Here is a 21,334-nt window from a genome sequence, read left to right as displayed (position 1 = left end):
TCATGTCATCTGTAAACAGGGACAATTTGACTTCCTCTTTTCCTAAATGAATACCTTTTATTTCTTTCTCCTGCCTGATTGCCCTGGCCAGAACTTCCAACACTATGTTGAATAGGAGTGGTGAGAGAGGGCATCCCTGTCTTGTGCCTATACCACAGTTTCTTAATGATACTTTTTGTAGTCTCATTGTGGTTGCATATTTTATACGCAAATTTTCAAGTCTTTGCATTTCCCATATGTGGCTCATGCATTTCTTATGATTCTCTCCAGTTTTCCTGCTTATGAAATGACTATCACCAGTTGTCCTCTTGGCATAACAAAGCCCCCTTCTCACAGTGATAATTTTATCACCCAAACACATCCACTTTTTTCCATGAGACAGTAAACTAAGTTTTAAAAATGATGATGATATTTGCCAAAATGATTATGACAAAGTAGCTATTATTTTATGATTGACAGGATTCACTTTTAGGTCTTTGTATGCCTGACACTGATTTAAGTGCTTTATGCAGTTTTTATGTTTTACACTTTACAAGGTTCCTAGACAGGTGCATTATGTTCTGATTTAACAACCCAGGATATAGAAGCACACATCGTCATTTCCTTACGCTACACCATGTCCCACCACAGTCAACTCTGTCAAGCCTGGTCTGATTCTGCTGAGCAGCTGCCCTTACTTTGTTCTCCTTCCTTTTCTTGTGACCAGGAGCAGAGCCCAGGTAGTTGTGATGATGCTATGAATCCCACTATTGAGCATGACTGAGGACCAGGCTTGGTGCCCAGCACCGGCTAAATGGTCTTCCGTGGAAACAAGGGCTGCGTAGTCAGTCAAGGAAGGCCCTTGGTGCACATTGCCACTCTCCCGGCATGCTTCCAGGGTTTTCACCATCATGCATGGGGTCAAAGCTGCATTTACCACAATAAGTGCCCATGTTTGAATGTGAGAGTTTTAACTGTTTATAGACCTTAAGGTTTTGTTATTTTTCTGCAGAATCTATGTAAGCTACGTACCAAGATATATGTAAGAAGCTGCTCTGCCACTGTCAATAATAGTTACTGTTCAGTGAAAATCATTGAGTCATTTTATTTCTCCATCCCCAAGTGCACCAGGAAAGGAGCCCCAGAGAAGACGAGATAAAGATCGAAATGGTCCTGTTGAGTTAATTTACTTTTTCCACTTGCCCAACACATACTTTGATTTTGTTTGACAGATATCTATAGGTAGAAAAAGTTTGTGCACAGCAGAAATCCAAGCTCCTTCCTGCCCTTGAGGTACTTGTGGACATGTACAAGAGAAACCATCAGTTTTCCATCAAGAGGGCAAATGTTGCTATGGAGGAAAGCATAGATTTTGTGGGAGCCCAGGAAAGGGAACAGAGGGAGAACCACAGGGGTGGGAATGGGAGACGGACAGCAAGTATCTGGAGAATTACATGGTTGCGTTGAATATTTAGCAAAGAGTAATAAACTACTCAGATTTAATCGACATTTTTTATTCCAGATCACAGAGATTATTGAACATAATGATACTAATTAACAACATGGCAGAAATGTTCCTAATGCAATTATCATTTGATGTCTTATTTTTCTCTACAGATATCCTTTATTTGTTTTAATTTTCCATGGAAATGACCAAGCTTTTCAGCTATATTGTCATTAAAAATGTTTATTACCCTCAAGTCAGCTTTGGAATCTCAGCAAACACCTTCCTCCTTCTTTTCCACATCTTCACTTTTGCTTATACTCACAGGCTTAAGCCCATTGACATGACCATTAGTCACTTGCCCCTAATCCACATACTGCTACTCTTCACTCAGGCGATACTGGTGTCCTCCGACTTATTTGAATCATGGAATATTCAGAACAATGATCTAAAGTGTAAGATCATCACATTTTTAAACAGGGTGATGAGGGGAGTCTCCATCTGCACCACTTGCCTCCTAAGCGTGCTCCAGGCCATCACCATCAGCCCCAGCACCTCCTTCTTGGAAAAGTTTAAACATATTTCTGCAAATCACACCTTAGGCTTCATCCTCTTCTCATGGGTCCTCAACATGTTCATTACTAATAACCTTTTGCTTTTCATTGTGCCTACCCCGAATAGGATTGGGGCCAGTCTTTTGTTTGTCACTGAGCACTGTTATGTTTTGCCCATGAGCTACACCCACAGGAGCCTGTTTTTCATACTAATGGTTTTGAGGGATGTCATCTTCATAGGACTCATGGTCCTCTCAAGTGGCTATGGGTGATTATTTTGTACAAACAAAAGAGACTGTCCCAGCACCTACATAGCACCAGCGTCTCCCCAAGAGCCTCCCCAGCAAAAAGGGCCTCCCAGACCATCCTATTGTTGGTGAGCTGTTTTGTCTTCTTATATTGGGTGGACTTCATATTCTCATTTTCAGTGGTTGTGACATGGATAAACGACCCTCTACTGGTATGATTCCATATGCCTGTGGTCAATAACTATGCCATAATTAGTCCTTTAGTCTTAACCTATGCTGATAACAAATATTCAAGATTGTTCAGACTCTTTGGAGGAGAATAATTAAGGTTTATCAAAAGTGATGAAAATTTACAACTAGAAATGCATTTGATAGTCCCCCAAATAGTTTTACATGTTGCATAGGGTATTTCTCTGAATACATTCATTCAAGGTTATTACTAACCCTGTGTTATATCAATCATAACGATCTTTGTAATATGATTAATATGATTAGCAAATGCAATTGAGTAAATTGTGCACATCAGTCATATGTCTACAGGATTTTTGTTTCTTTGCTTTCTTTCTTTTTATTTTTTTGAGACGGAGCCTCGCTCTGTCACCCAGGCTGGAGTGCAGTGGCGCCATCTCGGCTCACTGCAAGCTCCGCCCCCCCGGGTTCCCACGAGGCGCCCTTCCCACCAGGCGCCCGCCACCCTGGTTCCCACCAGGCGCCTGCCACCACACTGGGCTAATTGTTTGTATTTTTAGTAGAGACGGGGTTTCACTATGTTAGCCAGGATGGTCTCAATCTCTTGACCTCGTGATCCGCCCACCTCGGCCTCCCAAAGTGCTGGGATTACAGGCGTGAGCCATTGCGCCCGGCCACACTATTCTTGTTTGTATATAAATATCCCGTTTTATTTATCACACTTTTTTGATCTCCCACATGTATCTGCATTTCCCAATTTTGTTATGTTTTTATTTTTACTTATTTCTATATATTTTTTTGAGACAGGGTTTCTCTCTGTCCCTCAGCCTGGGGTGCAATGGCACAATCATGGCTCACTGTTCCCTCGACCTCCTGGGCTCAAATGATCCTCCCACCTCAGCCTTTGAATAGCTGGGATTACAGGCACACGCCACCACACCTGGCTAATTTAAAAAATTTTTTTTGTAGAGACAGGGTCTCGCTGTGTTGCCGAGGCTGGTCTCAAACTCCTTGGGCTCAAGGAATCCTCCTGCAATCCTCCTGCCTTGGCCTCTCAAAGTGTTGGATTATAGGTATGAGCCATCCCTCCTGATCTCACTTTATCATTTCTATAAAATTCAAAGTCTTTATTTCAAATATTGTATCTTTGTTTTCCCTCTTTTCTACTTCTGAATTTTCAACATGATTTAAATTAGACCTGCTCATTTTATTATTTGTATCTCCTAATCTCTTTCATATATTTTAGATCTCTCTGCTTTCTCAGTTGCATTCTAAACATTTTATTCAGCCATGTAGCTTAGTTATCATTTTACCTGAAGTCTGTATCAACTGCCATTTAACAATTCAATTTATTTTCATAGCTGTGATGCCAGTTTATTTTTTATATTTTTTATGTTGATACATAATATGTGTACATATTTATGGCATATGTATAATATTTTGTTATATGCATATAATGTGTCATGATCAAGTTGATGTATAGGGTATTCATCAACTCAAATTTTTATTTGTAATTTTACAAAAAAATTTTTGGAGATAGGGTTTCACTCTGTCACCCAGGCTGGAGTGCAGTGGAGTAATCATGGCTCACTGCAGTCTCGACCTCCTGGGCTGAAGAAATTTTCCCACCTCAGCCTCCTAAGTAACTGGGACTGCAGGCACATACCACCACACCTGGCTAATTATTATTATTATTCTTGTAGAGATGGGATATCACTCTTGCTCAGGCTAGTCTCAAAATCCTGGCCTCAAATATCCTACTCCCTTGACCTCCCAAAGTGCTGGGATTACAGGAATGAGCTAGAGTGTCCAGCCTGTTTATTATTTGTATGTGTTGGAAACCTTTCAGTTCTCTCTCAAAGCTATTTTGAAATATACAATACATTGTTATATATAGTCAGTTACTCTGCTATCAAATATTAAAACATTTCTTATATCTAACTGTATGTTTGTACCCATTAACAACCTCTCTTCTTCCATCAACAACCATCTACGCACACTTCTCAGTCTCTGGTAGCTATCATTCTTCTCTCTATCTCCGTGAGATCAACTTTTTTTGCTCCCATATGTAAGTGAAACTATTCAATATTTGTCCTTCTGTGCCTGGCATACATCACTTAACATAATGACATCCATTTACATCTGTGTTGCTGCAAATAACAAAATTTCAGTTTTTTTAAAGGCATAATAGTACTTTATTGTGCACATACCCTACATTTTCATTCACTGATGGACAATTTGGTTGATCTCATATCTTTGCTATTGTAAATACTGTTGCTATAAACATGCAAATGTAGGCATCCCTTTGATATATGGATTTCCTTTTCTTTTGATAAATACCCAGTAGTGGGATTGCTAGATGGTATGGTAGTCCTATTTTTAGTTAGTTTTGTTTGTTTGTTTGTTTGTTTTTGGGTTTTTTTGGTGACATCTCCATACTGTTTTCCATAGTGGCTGTACTGACTTACATTGCCACCAACAGTATATAAGTTTTCTTTTCTCCACATTCTTGCCAACGTCTCTTGTGTTTTCCTTTTAATAACAGTCATTCTAACTGGGGTAAGATGATATCTCATTCTGGTTTTGACTTATATTTCCCTTGTGACTGGTAATGTTGAGCATTAAAAAAAAAAAACCTGTTAGCCATTTGCATTTCTTCTTTTGAGAAATGTCTATGTATGTCCTTTGCACACTTTTTAATGTGATTGCTTTTTACTATTTGAGTATATTTTGGATGTTAGTTCTTTATCAGATGAATAGTTTGCAAATATTTTCTTCCATTCAACAAGTTGTTTCTTTGCTCCATTGATTGTTTCCTTTGCCATGTAGAAGTTTTTTTATTTAATAATATTTTCCCATTTGTCTGCTTTTGTTTTTGTTTTCATTTTCATTGTGTGTGTTTTTGATGTCTTAGCCATAAAATATTTGCCTAATGTTCTGAAGTGTTTTCTGTGTGTTTTTATCTAATAGTTTTATAGTTTCAGGTCTTATGTATAAGTTCATAATTCATCTTCAGTTTATTTTTGTATATGGTGAGAAATAGGGGTCCAGTTTCATACTTTTGCATGTAGATATCCAGTTTTCCCAGCACCATTCATTGAAAATAATGTCCAACACCCAGTGTATGTTCTTGGAGCCTTTGTGGAAAACCAGTTGGCTGTAAATACATGGATTTATTTCTCTGTTCTATACTCTGTTCCACTGGACTATGTGTCTCTTTTAAACTCAACCATGCTATTGTTGTTACTTTTGCCTTGTAATCTATTTCATTTACTTTTCTTTTTCTTTTTCTTTCTTTTTGTTTTAATTTTTGTGGGTACATAGTAGGTATACATATTTATGAGGTACATGAGATGGGGTTTGATACAGGCATGCAATGTGAAATAATCACAGCATAGAGAATGGGGCATCTATCCCCTCAAGCATTTATCCTTTGAATCACAAACAATCCAATTACACCCTTTAAATTATTTTAAAATGTACAATTAAATTATTATTGACTATAGCCACCCTGTTATGGCATCAAATAGTAGGTCTCGTTCATTGCTTCTAATTATTTTTTGTATCCATTAACAATCCTCACCTCCCCCCAACACACATCCCTCAGTGACCCTTCCAGTCTCCGGAAACCATCCTTCTACTCTCTATCTCCATGGATTCAATTGTTTTGATTTTTAGATCTCACAAATAAGTGAGAACATGTGACATTTATCTCTCTGTGCCTGGCTTATTTCATTAAACACAATGATCTCCAGTTCCATTCATGTATTCATGTTGTTGCAAAGGACTAGATCTGATTTTTTTTTTTTTTTTTGCTTAATAATACTCCATTGTGTATATGTACCATGTTTTTTAAGATTTATTTTTTATTTAATACGTTTTTGGGGAACAGGTGGTGTTTGGTTACATGAATAAATTCTTCAGTGGTGATTTCTGAGATTTTGGTGCACCCATCACACAAGTAGTGTACACTGTACCCAATGTGTAGTCATTTATCCCTCATCCCCCTCCCACCCTTTCCCTGAAGTTCCCAAAGTCCATTGTATCATTCTTATTCCTTTGTGTTCTCATAGCTTAGCTCCCACTTATGAGTGAGAACATACGATGTTTGGTTGTCCATTCCCGAGTTATTTTACTTAGAATAATAGTCTCCAATTCCATTCAGATTGCTGCAAATGCCATTATTTCATTCCTTGTTATGTCTGAGGTAGTATTCCATGGTATATATGTACCACATTTTCTTTATCCATGCGTTGGTTGATGGGACATTTTTTTCTGCAATTGCAAATTGTGCTGCTATAAACATGCATGCGCAAGTATCTTTTTCGTATAATGACTTCTTTTCCTCTGGGTAGATACCCAGTAGTCGGATTGCTGGATCAAATGATAGATCTACTTTTAGTTTTTTAAGGAATCTCCACGTTGTTTTCCATCCTGGTTGTACTAGTTTACATTCCCACCAGCAGTGTAAAAGTGTTCCCATTTCACCACATCCTTGCCAACATATATTATTTTTTGATTTTTTTATTATGGCCATTCTTGCAGGAGTGGGGTGGTATTGCATTGCGGTTTTGATCTCTATTTCCCTAATAATTAGTGATGCTGAGCATTCTTCCATGTGCTTTTTGGCCATTTGTATATCTTTTTTTGAGAATTCATCTCCTTAGCCCACTTTTTGATGGGATTATTTGTATTGTTCTTGCTGATTTCTTTGTAGATTCTGGATATTAGTCTTTTGTCACATGTAGAGATTGTGAAAATTTTCTCCCACTCTGTAAGTTGTCTGTTAACTCTGCTGATTCTTTTGCTGTGCCGAAGCTTTTTAGTTTAATTAAGTCCCGCCTATTTATCTTTGTTTTTGTTGCATTTGCTTTTGGGTTCTCGGTCATGAAGTCTTTGCCTAAGTCAATGTCTAGAAGGATTTTACGTTTTTTTATGGTGCCAATTTAAGACAGTTTTTATTTAAGACACTATATTTTCCAGTTAAAATACAGTATTTATAAAGTGCAATGTTATTTCCTTCCCCTGTGCATATGTTCCATATTCAAGTATTGAGACTACCCAGTTACTTACTATATTAGCTGAACTTTTTTAAACTGCCACAGAATTTGCTACAAATTTAGGTCCTTCAGTGTTTCAAAATGTGTGGAACAATGCTACATCTATAGTTGGGTTGGCTTAATCAACCTCTTCAATGGTGGGCCCTGAGGAAGCACCATCAGAGGGAGGAGCTCCACCATCAGGGAATCCCCCAGGCATTCTTCCTGGCACGCCTCCTGCAGTCTGGTATACTTGGTAATGATGGAGTTGCAGACTTTCTCCAGCTCTTCCTGCTGATGTTCAAATTCTTCCTTCTCAACAGTCTGATTTTTATCGAGCCAGCTGATAGTTTTATTACACTTGTCCAGAATCTTCTGTTTGTCTTCATCATTAATCTTGCCTTGAAGTTTCTCATCTTAGACAGTTGCTTTCTTGTTGAATGCATACGACTCAAGTGAATTCTTAGATGACACTTCATCCCTCTGCTTCTCATCTTCAGCTTTGTACTTCTCAGCTTCCTGGACCATACATTCAATGTCTTCCTTGCTCAAATGGCCCTTGTCATTAGTGATAGTAATCTTGTTCTCTTTTCCTGTACTCTTGTCCACAGAAGAGACATTGAGGATGCCATTGGCATCAATGTCAAAAGTGACTTCAATCTGAGGAACACCACGGGGTGCAGGAGGTATGCCTGTGAGTTCACACTTGCCACGCAGGTTGTTATCCTTGGTCGTGGCACGCTCACCTTCATAAACCTGTGAATAAGCACACCAGGCTGGTTGCCAGAATAGGTAGTGAAGGTCTGTGTCTGCTTGGTAGGAATGGTAGTATTACGCTTGATGAAGACAGTGGTGACTCCACCAGCAGTTTCAATACCAAGGGAAAGAGGAGAGACATCTAAGAGGAGCAACTCTTGAACATTTTCAGACTTGTCTCCAGATAGGATGGCTGCCTGAACAGCTGCACCATAAGCAAGAGCTTCATCAGGATTGATGCTCTTATTCGGTTCTTTTCCATTGATGAAGTCTTGGAGAAGCTTCTGAATCTTGGGGATATGAGTAGAACCACCAAACAGGACAATATCATGAATCTTTGACTTGTCCAGTTTGGCATCTTGAAGGGCTTTCTCTATGGGGTCTAGGGTGCTATGGAACAGGTCAGCATTCAATTCTTCAAATCGGGCACAGGCAATGGACATATAGAAGTTTATTCCTTCATAGAGAGAATCGATCCCAATACTGGCCTGGATGCTGGAAGAGAGAGTACACTTAGCATGTTCATAAGCAGTATGGAGGCATCTTACAGCTCTCTTATTCTCACTGATGTCCTTCTTATGCTTGCTCTTGAACTCAGCAATAAAATGGTTGACATTCGGTTGTCAAAGTCTTCTCCACCCAAGTGGGTGTCTCCAGCTGTAGATCTGACCTCAAAGATTCCATCCTCAATAGTGAGGATTGACACATCAAAAGTCCCACCTCTCAGGTCAAAGGTCAGCACATTTCTTTCAGCTCCAACCTTTTTGTCTAAGCTGTAAGCAGTAGCAGCTACAGTTGGCTCACTGATACTTCTAAGTACATTGAGACCAGCAATAGTTCTAGCATATTTGGTAGCCTGATGCTGAGGGTCATTAAAGTAAGCTGGCACTGTGACCACAGCATTGGTAACCATATTCCCAAGGTATGCTTCTGCAATTTCCTTCATCTTTGTCAGAACCATAGAGGGTACCTCCTCTGGGTAGAAGCTTTTGGTCTCTCCCTTGTATTCCACTTGGACCTTGGGCCTGCCAGCATCATTCACCACCATGAAGGGCCAATACTTCATATCAGGCTGGACAACAGCATCATCAAATCTGCATCCAATTAGATGTTTGGCATCAAAAAACCATGTTGGTGGGGTTCATTGCAACTTGATTCTTTGTGGCATCACCTATCAATCGTTCAGTGTCTGTAAAGGCAACATAGCTTGGAGTGGTTCGGTTTCCCTGATCATTGGCAATTATCTCTACTTTCCCGTGCTGGAAAACACCCACACAAGAGTAGGTGGTGCCAATATCAATATCAACTGCAGTTCCCTTCAACATGATTGCTGGTATGTAGGCCTGTCTCTGGCTACAAAGAAAGACACAGAAACCCTGAGAGCTGCAGGTGAGTTCAATGACAGAAGGGTTTTTTCTGATGTCATCTTGTAGAAGCTTTATGGTGTCAGGTCTTTGATTTAAGTCTTTGATCCATCGTGGATTGATTTTTGTATAAGGGGAGAGGTGAGGATCCAGTTTCATTCTTCTACATGTGGCTTGCCAGTTATCCCAACACCATTTGTTGAATAGGGTGTCCTTTCCTCACTTTATGTTTTTGTTCAGTTTTTTGAAGATCAGTTGGCTGTAAGTATTTGGCTTTACTTCTGGGTTCTCTATACTGTTCCATTTGTCTATGTGCCTATTTTTATACCAGTACCATGTTGTTTTGGTGACTATGGCCTTACAGTATAGTTTGAAGTTGGGTAATGTGATGCTTCCAGATCTGTTCTTTTTGCTTCTTCTTGCTTTGGCTATGCAGGGTCTTTCTTGGTTTTCAAGTGATCCTCCTGCCTTGGCCTCCCAAAGTTCTGGGATTACAGGCATAAGCCACTACACCCAGGATTTGCCCACTTTTAAATGAGGTTTTTGAGGGGTTTTCTTGTTGTCGTAAATTTGAGTTCCTTACAGATGATGAATATTAGACTTTTGTCAGATGCATAGTTCACAAGTATTCTCTCCCATTCTGTAGATTGTCTGTTCACTCTGTTGATAGTTTCTTTTGCTAGGCAGAAGCTCATAAGTTTAATTAGATCCCATTTGTCAATTTTTGCTTTCGTTGTGATTGCTTTTGGCATTTTCATCATAAAAATTTTGCTCATTTTTATGTCCAGAATAGTATTGCCTAGGTTGTCTTCCAGGGATTTTATAGTTTTGGGTTTTACATTTAAGTTTTTAATCAATCTTGAGTTAATTTTTGTATATCTTGTAAAAAAAGAGGTCCAGTTTCAGTCTTCTGCATGTGGCTATCAGTTATTCAAGCACAGTTTATTCAATAGGGAATTCTTTCCCTACTGCTTGTTTTTGTCAGCTTTGTTGAAGATCAGATGGTTGTAGGTGTGTGGCCTTATTTCTGGGCGTCTATTCAGTTCCACTGGTATGTGTGTCTGTTTCTGTACCAGTACCATGCTGTTTTGATTAATGTAGCCCTCCTCTATAGTTTAAAGTTGAGTAGTTTGATCACTATAGCTTTGTTCTTTTTGCTTAAGATTGCCTTAGCTATTCCAGTTCATTTCTGGTTCTGTATGAATTTTAAAATAGCTTTTTTTCTAGTTCTGTGGGGAATGTCATTGTTAGTTTAATAAGAATAGCATTGAACCTGTAAATTGCTTTTGACAATATGGCCGTTTTAGTGATACTGATTCTTCCTATCCATGAGCAGGGAATTGTTACTGTTGAGGGTAGTTGTCCAGATTCTTGGCATTTTGAACAAAGAATTGGACAAAACATGCAAACAAAACAAGGCAGCAAAAGCAGAGATTTATTTTAAATGAAAGTACACTCCACAGAGTCAGGGGAGGCTCAAGCAAGCAGCTCAAGAGCGTTAGTTACAGAATATTTTGGGGTTTAAACGCCCTCTAGAGGTTTCCCATTGGTTCACTCTATGCAAATAAAGTAGTGGGCCATGACCAGTCTGATTGGTTGTGGAAAGGGACCAATCAGAGGTACTTTCATTTTCCAACTGCCACGCAGCAACTGCCACAAAGAGAAAGGAGGAATTGAAAGGGGAATAGCCTGTGATATTCAGTCAGCATGAATCAGCCTTAGGTTCCCTGCCTCCAGACCCTAGTCTCCTGCCTCAGAATGTTTTTCCATTTGTTTGTGTTATCTCTGATTTCTTTGAACAGAGCCAAACCATATCACATGGGGTGCATGATTGTTCTTGGTGTCCACTGATTTTTTTTTTTCCAATGCAGCTGCTGGTGCAATTTTCACATTACCCTGTGAGAAATACTTGGATCTTGTAAGCTAACACCAAGAACAATCATGCACCGCGTGTGATATGGTTGGGCTCTGTGTCCCCACCCAAATCTCATCTGAAATTGTAATCCCCACATGTCAAGGGAGGGATTACAATTGGGCAAAGGGATTATTGAATCATGGGGATGGTTTCCCCCATGCTGCTCCTGTGATGGTGAGTGAGTTCTCACAAGATCTAATGGTTTTATAAGTGTTGGAAGTCCCTCCTTCACTCCTTTCTCTCTCCTGCTGCCATGTAAGACATGCCTGCTTCCCCTTCCACCATGACTGTAAGTTTTCTGAGGCCTCCCCAGCCATGCGTAACTGTGAGTCAATTAAACCTTTTTATTTTATAAATTACCCAGTCTTGGGTAATTCTTTATAGCAGTGTGAAAATGGACTAATACCCCATGTGAGTATTTGGAACCTTACAAGTACACCTGGTAAGGGCTCAGAGCCAGATGGTTTCATTTGCTCTCTCGTGCTGCTCTCTGACTGGTAGAAAAATTGGTGAATCACAAAAACATATTTAAAATGGCAACTATGTGAGGCTTGCAAATATGGGAAAGTGAACAAAAAAAGTAATATTTAAAAAGTAGAACACAAAAGAGTTTGCACAGTCTTATTTAAGCTATGCCATACATGTTCATAAACAAGTTTGAAAGAGAATTTGAAAATTATTACAATTTTCAGATAAAATCTATTCTTTCAGTTTAAGTTTAAAAGCATGCATTTAGAAATAAATTGATATGTAAAAAATAAATCTTAGCCATCCAAAAACTTCAAATATCCCAAACAAGTCTTTTTTTAAAGGTGCATGTAAGTCAGATTTTACTATACTTTGAAAAATTGTAATAAATAATGCAGTTGACAAAATAATCTACACTGACATAGAAATAAGCAATTTTCTTATTATTATACTTTAAGTTCTAGGGTACATGGGCACAACATGCAGGCTTGTCACATAGGTATACATGTGCCATGTTGGCTTGCTGTACCCATCAACTTGTCATTTACATTAGGTAATTGTTATAATACTATAATCACTCATAATTATATAATATTGTACGTATTATTACATATGTATGCAGGTCCTCCACTAATGTTATCAATTCCTGGCCAAGGCCACTGTCTGTATAGAGTTAACAGTTTCTCTCTTTGTCTCTGTGTGTGTTTTCTCCAGGTATTCCAGTTTTCCCCCACAACCCAAAGATGTGCACATTAGGTTAATTGGCATGTCTACATTGTCCCAGTAAGAGTGAGTGTGGGCCAGGCATGGTGGCTCATGCCTGTAATCCCAGCACTTTGGGAGGCCGAGGTGGGCAGATCACCTAAGGTCATGAGTTTGAGACCAGCCTGGCCAACATGGTGAAACCCCGTCTCTACTAAAAATATAAAAATTAGCTGGGCCTGGAGATGTGTTCCTGTAGTCCCAGCTACTGGGGAGGCAAAGGCAGGAGAATTGCTTGAACCCGGGAGGTGGAGGTTGCAGTGAGCCAAGATCATGCCATTGCACTCCAGGTTGGGTGACAGATCGAGACTCCATCTCAAGAAGAAAAAGAATGAGTGTGGGTGAGGGTGTGAATGTGCCTTACAATGAAATGGAGTCTTGTCCAGGATTAGTTCCTACCTTGCACCCTGAGCTGCTGGGATGGCCTCTGGCTACTTGTGACCCTGAACTAGAATTAGTAATGTGGGAAATGAATGAATGAATTTATAAAACATATTATAAAATCAATATCTGGCCGGGCGCGGTGGCTCACACCTGTAATCCCAGCACTTTGGGAGGCCGAGGCAGGTGGATCACAAGGTCAGGAGATCAAGACCATCCTGGCTAACACGGTGAAACCCCGTCTCTACTAAAAAATACAAAAAATTAGCCAGGCATGGTGGCAGGCGCCTGTAGTCCCAGCTACTAGGGAGGCTGAGGCAGGAGAACGGCGTGAACCCGGGAGGCAGAGGTGGCAGTGAGCCGAGATTGCACCACTGCACTCCAGTCTGGACGACAGAGCAAGGTAAGGGCTCAGAGCCCCCAAAAAACAAAAAAAAAAACAAAAAACAAAAATCAGTATTTGTAAAGTACGTAATAACCATGCAAATGCACAACAATGCACAATGCAGTAATGGAGTACAGAAGCGCTCTGCTGACATATTTTCTATTTTGAACCCTGAGGTGGTAGGAGGTGCTCTTTGCAATATTTGATTTGCTAACATTTATTCATTCATTTAACCCATCACCACTATGACCACCATCACTTACTGACTCACTAAGAATTGGGTAAGTAATTATCTTACATGTTCATAGTGGTGTGTTCATAGCTCACTGTAAACTCAAACTCCTGGGCTCAAGAGATCTTCCTGCCTCAGCCTTACAAGTAGCTCTATTAACCTTTCTTAAATGTATCTATAGCTCTCATTTATTTCAATGTTTAATATAATAAGTGTTTTGGATCTTTATTTAGAAACTTGGTGATGTTTTTGTTACCAGAAATATGCTATAGGAACTTAACTCCTTTCAATATCAATTAGCTTTCAGTAAAATTGGTTTAATGATACACATTTTTGCTTAAAGTCCCAGTTTCTGAGAACCTACTGATGATTTAAGTAAGAACTTACTGTACTACTGAACATCTACAATAAGGCATTGCTATAAGCACTTTTTATCCATTACCTTTCAAGAATTCTCTCTGAGGTAGGTTTTAGTGTCTTCGATTTAGAGGGCTAATTCATAAACAATATATAGAATTAAATAAGAAACTAAAACATGAAAGACATCCAAAAATACAATGTTGAATTAAAAATGAAGTTACAGAAGCATAGATAGTGGACACCTTTATATAAAGTTGGGTATATACCCAGTAATGGGATTGCTGGGTCAAATGGTCAAATTGCATTTCTCTAATGATCAATGATGTTGAGCTTTTTTTCATATGTTTGTTGGGTACATAAATGTCTTGTTTTGAGAAGTGTCTGTTCATGTCCTTTGCCCACTTTTTGATAGAATTGTTTCTTTTTTTCTTGTAAATTTAAGTTCCTTGTGGATTCTGGATATTAGAGCTTTGTCTGATGGGTTGATTGCAAACTTTTTCTCCCATTCTGTAGGTTTTCTGTTCACTCTGAAGATAGTTTCTTTTTTTGCTGTGCAGAAGCTCTTTAGTTTAATGAGATCTAGTTCTTTTAGTTTTGATGTTAGGTTGTTGATTTGAGATCTTTCTAGCTTTTTGATATGGGCATTTAGTGCTATAAATTTCCCTCTTAACACTGCTTTAGTTGCATCCCAGAGATTCTGGTACATTGTCTCTTTGTTCTTATTAGTTTCAAAGAACTTCTTAATTTCTTCCTTAATTTCATTATTTACCCCAGAGTCGTTCAGGAGTAGGTTGTTCAATTTCTATGTAGTTGTGTGGTTTTGAGTGCGTTTCTTGAGTTCTAATTTGATTGTGCTGTGGTCTGAGAGATTGCTTGTTCTGATTTCAGTTCTTTTGCATTTGCCAAGGAGTGTTTTACTTATGATTATGTGATGAATTTTAGAGTCAGTGCCATGCCTGGTGATGAGAAGAATGTATATTCTGTTGTTTTGAGTGAAGAGTTCTGTAGATATTAATCAGGGCCACTTGGTTCAGAGCTGAGTTCAAGTCCTGAATATCTTTGTTAATTTTCTGTCTCAATAATCTGTCTAATATTATCAGTGGGGTGTTAAAGTCTCCCACTGTTATTATGTGGGAGTCTAAGTCTCTTTGAAGGTCTCTAAGAACTTGTTTTATGAATCTGGGTGCTCCTGTATTGGGTGCATATATGTTTAGGATAGTTGGTTCTTGTTGAACTTTACCATTACGTAATGCCCTTCTTTTTCGATGTTTGTTGGTTTAAAGCCTGTTTTGTCAGAAACTAAGATTGTGAGCCCTGCTTTTTTCTATTTTCAATTTGCTTCGTAAATTTTCCTCCATCCCTTTATTTTGAGTCTATTTTTGTCTTTGCATGTGAGATTGACTCTTGAAGACAGTATACCAATGTGGCTTGATTCTTTATCCAGCTTGCCATTCTGTGTCTTTTAACTGGGGCACTTAGCACATTTACATTTAAGGTTAATATTGTTATTTGTGAAATTGATCCTGTCATCATGATGCTAACTGGTTATTTTGCAGACTTTTTTGTGTGGTTGTGTCATAGTTTCACTGGTCTCTGTACTTCAGTGTGCTTTTGTGGTGGCTGGTACTGGTTTTTCCTTTCCACATTTAATGCTTCTTTCAGGAGCTCTTGCAAGGGAGGCCTGGTGGTGTAGTCCCTCAGCATTAGCTTGCCTGAAAAGGATCTTATTTCTCCTTTATTTATGAAGCATGGTTTGGCTGGATATGAAATTCTGGGTTGGAAACTCTTTTCTTTACAAATATTTAATATTGGCCCCCAGTCTCTTCTGGCTTCTGCTGAGAGCTCTGTTGTTAGTCTGATGGGCTTTGCTTTGTACATGACCTGGCCTTTCTCTCTGGCTGCCCTTAACATTTTTTCTTTCATTTCAACTTTGAATAATCTGATAATTATGTGTCTTGGGGTTGATCTCCGAATGGAGTATCTTACTGGGGTCCTCTGGATTTCCTGAATTTGAATGGTGGCCAGTCCTGCTAGGTCGGGAAAGTTCTCCTGGATGATATCCTGAAGTATGTTTCCCAACTTGGTTTTGTTCTCCCCATCTCTTTCGGGCACCCCATTCAGTCACAGATTTGGTCTTTTACATAATCCCATCTTTCTTGGAGGTTTTGTTTGTCCCTTTACATTTTTTCTCTATTCTTGTCTGCCTGTCTTATTTCAGAAAGATAGTCAAGTTCTGAGATTCTTTCCTCCACTTGATTACAGTAAGGTGTGTGCCTCATTTCGACATGCTGTGATCTGCTGGCTGCCTGGAATTGGCTGAAGCTCAGTGCTTGTGACTGGCTGAGACCCAGCTATCTATACCAAAAAATACACTCCTAAATTGGGTTTTCGTTTATTTGCATACTAAGTTAGGTTGTAGTTTATTACACAGGAACTGAAAGTAGAAAGACAGCATTGGGACAATGGTCTTCCACTTATTTCATTTAACAATTTCTCCCTTGTGATCAGTCTCTCAATTTTGAGACTGGCATGGTCTGATTTAACGAGGATTCCATCTTTATCTTTAGCCTGGTAACACAAGTCATAGAAGCCTGGAGACCCACTCACTAGAAAAAAAACATAAATATTAAAAAAAAAACGTTTAAAGTTAAGCTTGTCATCCACCATTTAGAATGCCCACAAGCAAACTATTAGCTTTTCCTATAAACACATCCATATTCCCTTTTTAGTGTATTTATTATCAGTGTCTTAAGAAACAGGATATCAGCCACCTTTTAAATTAAGCTTTCTGTAGTAGCAAAATCAGGGGAAGAAAAATACAATATTCAGTATTGTTTAGCACCATGTACAACTGTCCAACAGAGTCAAAGAGGAGATGTAAAATTGTACCATGTCTCATTAAGTGCTTCTGGTGAACACATGCTATCATTCACCTTTTGGAGGATGGCTTCGACCTGTCTGAAGCCCTGGGATGTCTGGTTGACCACACAATTTAAGAATTTCACGAACGTATAAATTAGTTTCAAATTCCACACAACTGGTAACCCACTGCCAACAGGAGTGAGCCGCTAGGTTCGCCTCCACTGAAGAATCTTTCTTCAGTAAAAAGTAGCTCATCTTCATCTATTTAAAGGTATCTAGGAGGTGGCTCACACCTGTAATCCCAGCACTTGGGGAGGCTGAGGTGGACGGATTCCTTGAGGTCAAGAGTTCAAGACCAGCCTGGCCAACATGGTGAAACCCCGTCTCTGCAAATAAAAACAAACAAACAAACAAAAAAACAAAATATATATATTAGCTGGGCATATATATAGCTGGGCACACACTGGCAATCCCAGCTACTCAGGAGGCTGAGGCAGAAGAATCACTTGAACTTGGGAGACGAAGGTTGCAGTGAGCCGAGATCATGCCACTGCACTCCAGCCTGGGTAACAGAGTGAGACTCTGTCTCAAAAAACAAACGAACAAACAAAAACAAACAAAAACACAACAAAAATTAAGATAGCTTGTCTTTATCCATTTCAGTTGTTGACCAATTTAACCTCAGGATCAGCTGTCCAACAATGGACATTCTCTCTTAAAATGCTCTGGCTTTCCACACTTGCAACATCCACTCATAGTCTTAGGAGGTTTTCCCTGCATTTCCCTTCTTTCTTGGTGTTGAAGTCTATTATAGCTTTGTCTCCTCTGAGGGGGATCTTGATCTAATCGTTTTCTGACTACCTCTTCCACAGTGGAAACCATGCTTTTCGCTTTCTGTTTCTGCTTCTCTTCCTCTCTCCTTACAAAAACCCTCTGAGCTTCCCTCAGCAATTCCTCAATCGGTTTCTCATTCCATCCATCAAGCTTTTGTAATTTTTTTGTAATGTCAGGCCAGCTCTTAGTTACAAAGTTAATCTTCAAAAGGCCTTGCCCTGCTGGATAATCCGGATCTAGCCCGGAGTATTTTCTCATCTCTGAGCCGCTGCGGGAGTGCAGAGGGAGTTTTCTCTTTTTCTTGTTGAATCTCAAATGCCTTTGAGACATTTTATGTCCTAGGAGTGGATTCTTTGATCCCTCGAATTATTATTTCCCTGAGGTGCTGCATTTGGGCCCAGTCCCTGGGATCATTATTGTCCCATTGGGATTGACATTTGGAAATTTTTTTTTTTTTTATTGATCATTCTTGGGTGTTTCTCGCAGAGGGGGATTTGGCAGGGTCATAGGACAATAGTGGAAGGAAGGTCAGCAGATAAACAAGTGAACAAAGGTCTCTGGTTTTCCTAGGCAGAGGACCCTGCGGCCTTCCGCAGTGTTTGTGTCCCTGGGTACTTGAGATTAGGGAGTGGTGATGACTCTTAACGAGCCTGCTGCCTTCAAGCATCTGTTTAACAAAGCACATCTTGCACCGCCCTTAATCCATTCAACCCTGAGTGGACACAGCACATGTTTCAGAGAGCACAGGGTTGGGGGTAAGGTCACAGATCAACAGGATCCCAAGGCAGAAGAATTTTTCTTAGTACAGAACAAAATGAAAAGTCTCCCATGTCTACCTCTTTCTACACAGACACGGCAACCATCCGATTTCTCAATCTTTTCCCCACCTTTCCCCCTTTTCTATTCCACAAAACCGCCATTGTCATCATGGCCCGTTCTCAATGAACTGTTGGGTACACCTCCCAGACCGGGTGGTGGCCGGGCAGAGGGGCTCCTCACTTCCCAGTAGGGGCGGCCGGGCAGAGGCGCCCCTCACCTCCCGGACGGGGCGGCTGGCCGGGCGGGGGGCTGACCCCCCCACCTCCCTCCCGGATGGGGTGGCTGCCGGGCGGAGACGCTCCTCACTTCCCAGACGGGGCGGCTGCCGGTCGGAGGGGCTCCTCACTTCTCAGACTGGGCGGCCGGGCAGAGACGCTCCTCACCTCCCAGACGGGGCGGTGGGGCAGAGGAGCTCCCCATATCTCAGACGATGGGCGGCCGGGTAGAGACGCTCCTCACTTCCCAGACAGGGTGGCGGCCGGGCAGAGGCTGCAATCTCGGCACTTTGGGAGTCCAAGGCAGGCGGCTGGGAGGTGGAGGTTGTAGCGAGCCGAGATCACGCCACTGCACTCCAGCCTGGGCACCATTGACCACTGAGTGAACGAGACTCCGTCTGCAATCCCGGCACCTCCGGGAGGCCGAGGCTGGCGGATCACTCGCGGTTAGGAGCTGGAGACCAGCCCGGCCAACACAGCGAAACCCCGTCTCCACCAAAAAAGTACGAAAACCAGTCAGGCGTGGCGGCGCGCCCCTGCAATCGCAGGCACTCGGCAGGCTGAGGCAGGAGAATCAGGCAGGGAGGTTGCAGTGAGCCGAGATGGCAGCAGTACAGTCCAGCTTCGGCTCGGCATCAGAGGGAGACCGTGGAAAGAGAGGGAGAGGGAGACCGTGGAGAAGGAGAGGGAGACCGTGGGAAAGGGAGAGGGAGACCGTGGGGAGAGGGAGAGGGAGAGGGAGACGGAGAGGGAGAGGGAGGACATTTGGAAATTTTTGTTCAGCTGGCAGCACTCCCTGCCTAGGAGGGTGTTGCCTCTCCCTGATGGTCATGGCCACTCTCCTAATCATTCCCCTTTCTTCTCCTGTGAACAGGATATTCATGATAGACATCATTTCAGCCCAAGTGTAAAAGCTGGTCCTAGGAATTGGTCCAGCTGGTCTGCTAAACTGAGGGGAACTTCTAGGAGTGGTTTCATTTCCTTCTTGAAATTCCTAACTTCAGTACTTGTAAAAGGAGCATTTACAAAGCCAATCTCTCCCTGTCCCATGGGAACTTCCCTAAGAGGGAACATGCTAGATGCCTGCTGTGTGGAAGGGATAGGGAAGTTCTCAATATCCCTCTTACACTCTTGTAATTCTTTTCTTAAATTTGGATAAGGATTTAAAGGAGCAGTTGGCTTGGCTCCCCTGTAGTCTCTGGGTCTTTCTTCCTCTAACCCTCCTGCTGCCCCTTGATCTTCCTGTCCCCTTTTTTGTGAGACGTATGAAGGGGCAAGCACGATAGGGGGTCCCAGGGCTTTTCACTGGGTGAGGGCTCTTCACCAGGCTCTTTTTCTTCTTTTTTGAGGGGGATCATGGGGGCTAATTCCTTGATTCAGCAGAGAGTAACCTATCTCTTCTTGTGAGGATGAAGTTTTATTATTCACAGAGAGAATTAAAGCTTAGAACACAATCCTCATCTGAGCCAAACTTAGGCCAAAAGACAGAAGGCTTATGAATGGGGTCTTTGGGCCAGACAAAACAGCAATACTTTATCATCTTTTCCTTTTCCTTGTCCCTGGTTCGAGGGTTGTTCCACCAAACCTGCAACAATCTCCCCAAAGGACTATCCAGGGGAATGTCAGAGGGAGTCTCTTTGGCTCCCTCTTTCCTTTGGCTCCCAGGCCTAGAATTCCTGTTTCCCATTTTCTGCCAGTCTCTGCGTCTGAGTTTTTCCCTGTCTACTCAACCCCCCTTACTGGAGGTTTCTTGCACACCCCGAGACCTCCAAAAATGCCCCACAACCAAGGCAGTACTTACAGTCCAATTTTCCTTCCTTGGCTGGTGCATGAGTTTGCCTGGTTCCCGCAGTGCCTGCTTTTCTCCCTGTGTTGCTTCTGCTGCCTCCTGAATAATAGTCTTGGGTTTGTTTATGCCTTTTATGGGAAGCTGGGATGCCCAGATAGAGCGGGCCACCTAAATCAGGTGGGACACATCTCCCCTCTCGGCCAAAGTCCCACTTCACACAGGCACATGGATCCCAGATGGGCCCCCACGCTTGTGAGAAACACACTCACCTGTCCAAATCCAAAGAATGGACTTAGAGGCCTGAAGAACAGCCAAAGGGAGACTTTTAATAATGGTCTTGCAAGATCAGGTGTCTGGTAGGCAGGCACAACCGGGGCGGTCACAACAGGTAATTTATCTCCTAGCACACAAGTCCCTCCCCCAGTTCCTCACTGGTTGAGTACTGTGGGGTTACAATCTTCCCAGACATTGCCTAAGTTTCATCATCCCCCTTATAAGATTATACCCCTGTCCTCTTCCCTGCTTAAGTTTCGATTTCCCAATAATGAAACTTTCTTCCCTTTTATGAGCTGACCCCTCCTCTACATTCTGTTCACTTCTCGTGACCTTCTAGGTGCATAAGCCATGTGGTCTGTTACATTTGCAGGCTGGCTGCCGGTGCTTAGATTTATCATGCTGAAAATGGACCATTTAAAATGTTTTCTCACAAGTCTTGCATGTACAAACATGGAAGGCAACA

General features: G+C 41.3%; 2 pseudogenes; one reads left to right on the top strand and one right to left on the bottom strand.

Annotated features, from left to right (window-relative positions):
* Window positions 1,624-2,250, top strand: VN1R17P (vomeronasal 1 receptor 17 pseudogene; annotated as a pseudogene).
* Window positions 8,139-9,611, bottom strand: LOC343165 (heat shock protein family A (Hsp70) member 8 pseudogene; annotated as a pseudogene).

The sequence above is a fragment of the Homo sapiens genome, chromosome 1 (genome assembly GCF_000001405.40).
Source record: "Homo sapiens chromosome 1, GRCh38.p14 Primary Assembly".
Classification (NCBI taxonomy): Eukaryota; Metazoa; Chordata; class Mammalia; order Primates; family Hominidae; genus Homo; species Homo sapiens.
This window is presented reverse-complemented; position numbering and strand designations above follow the sequence as displayed.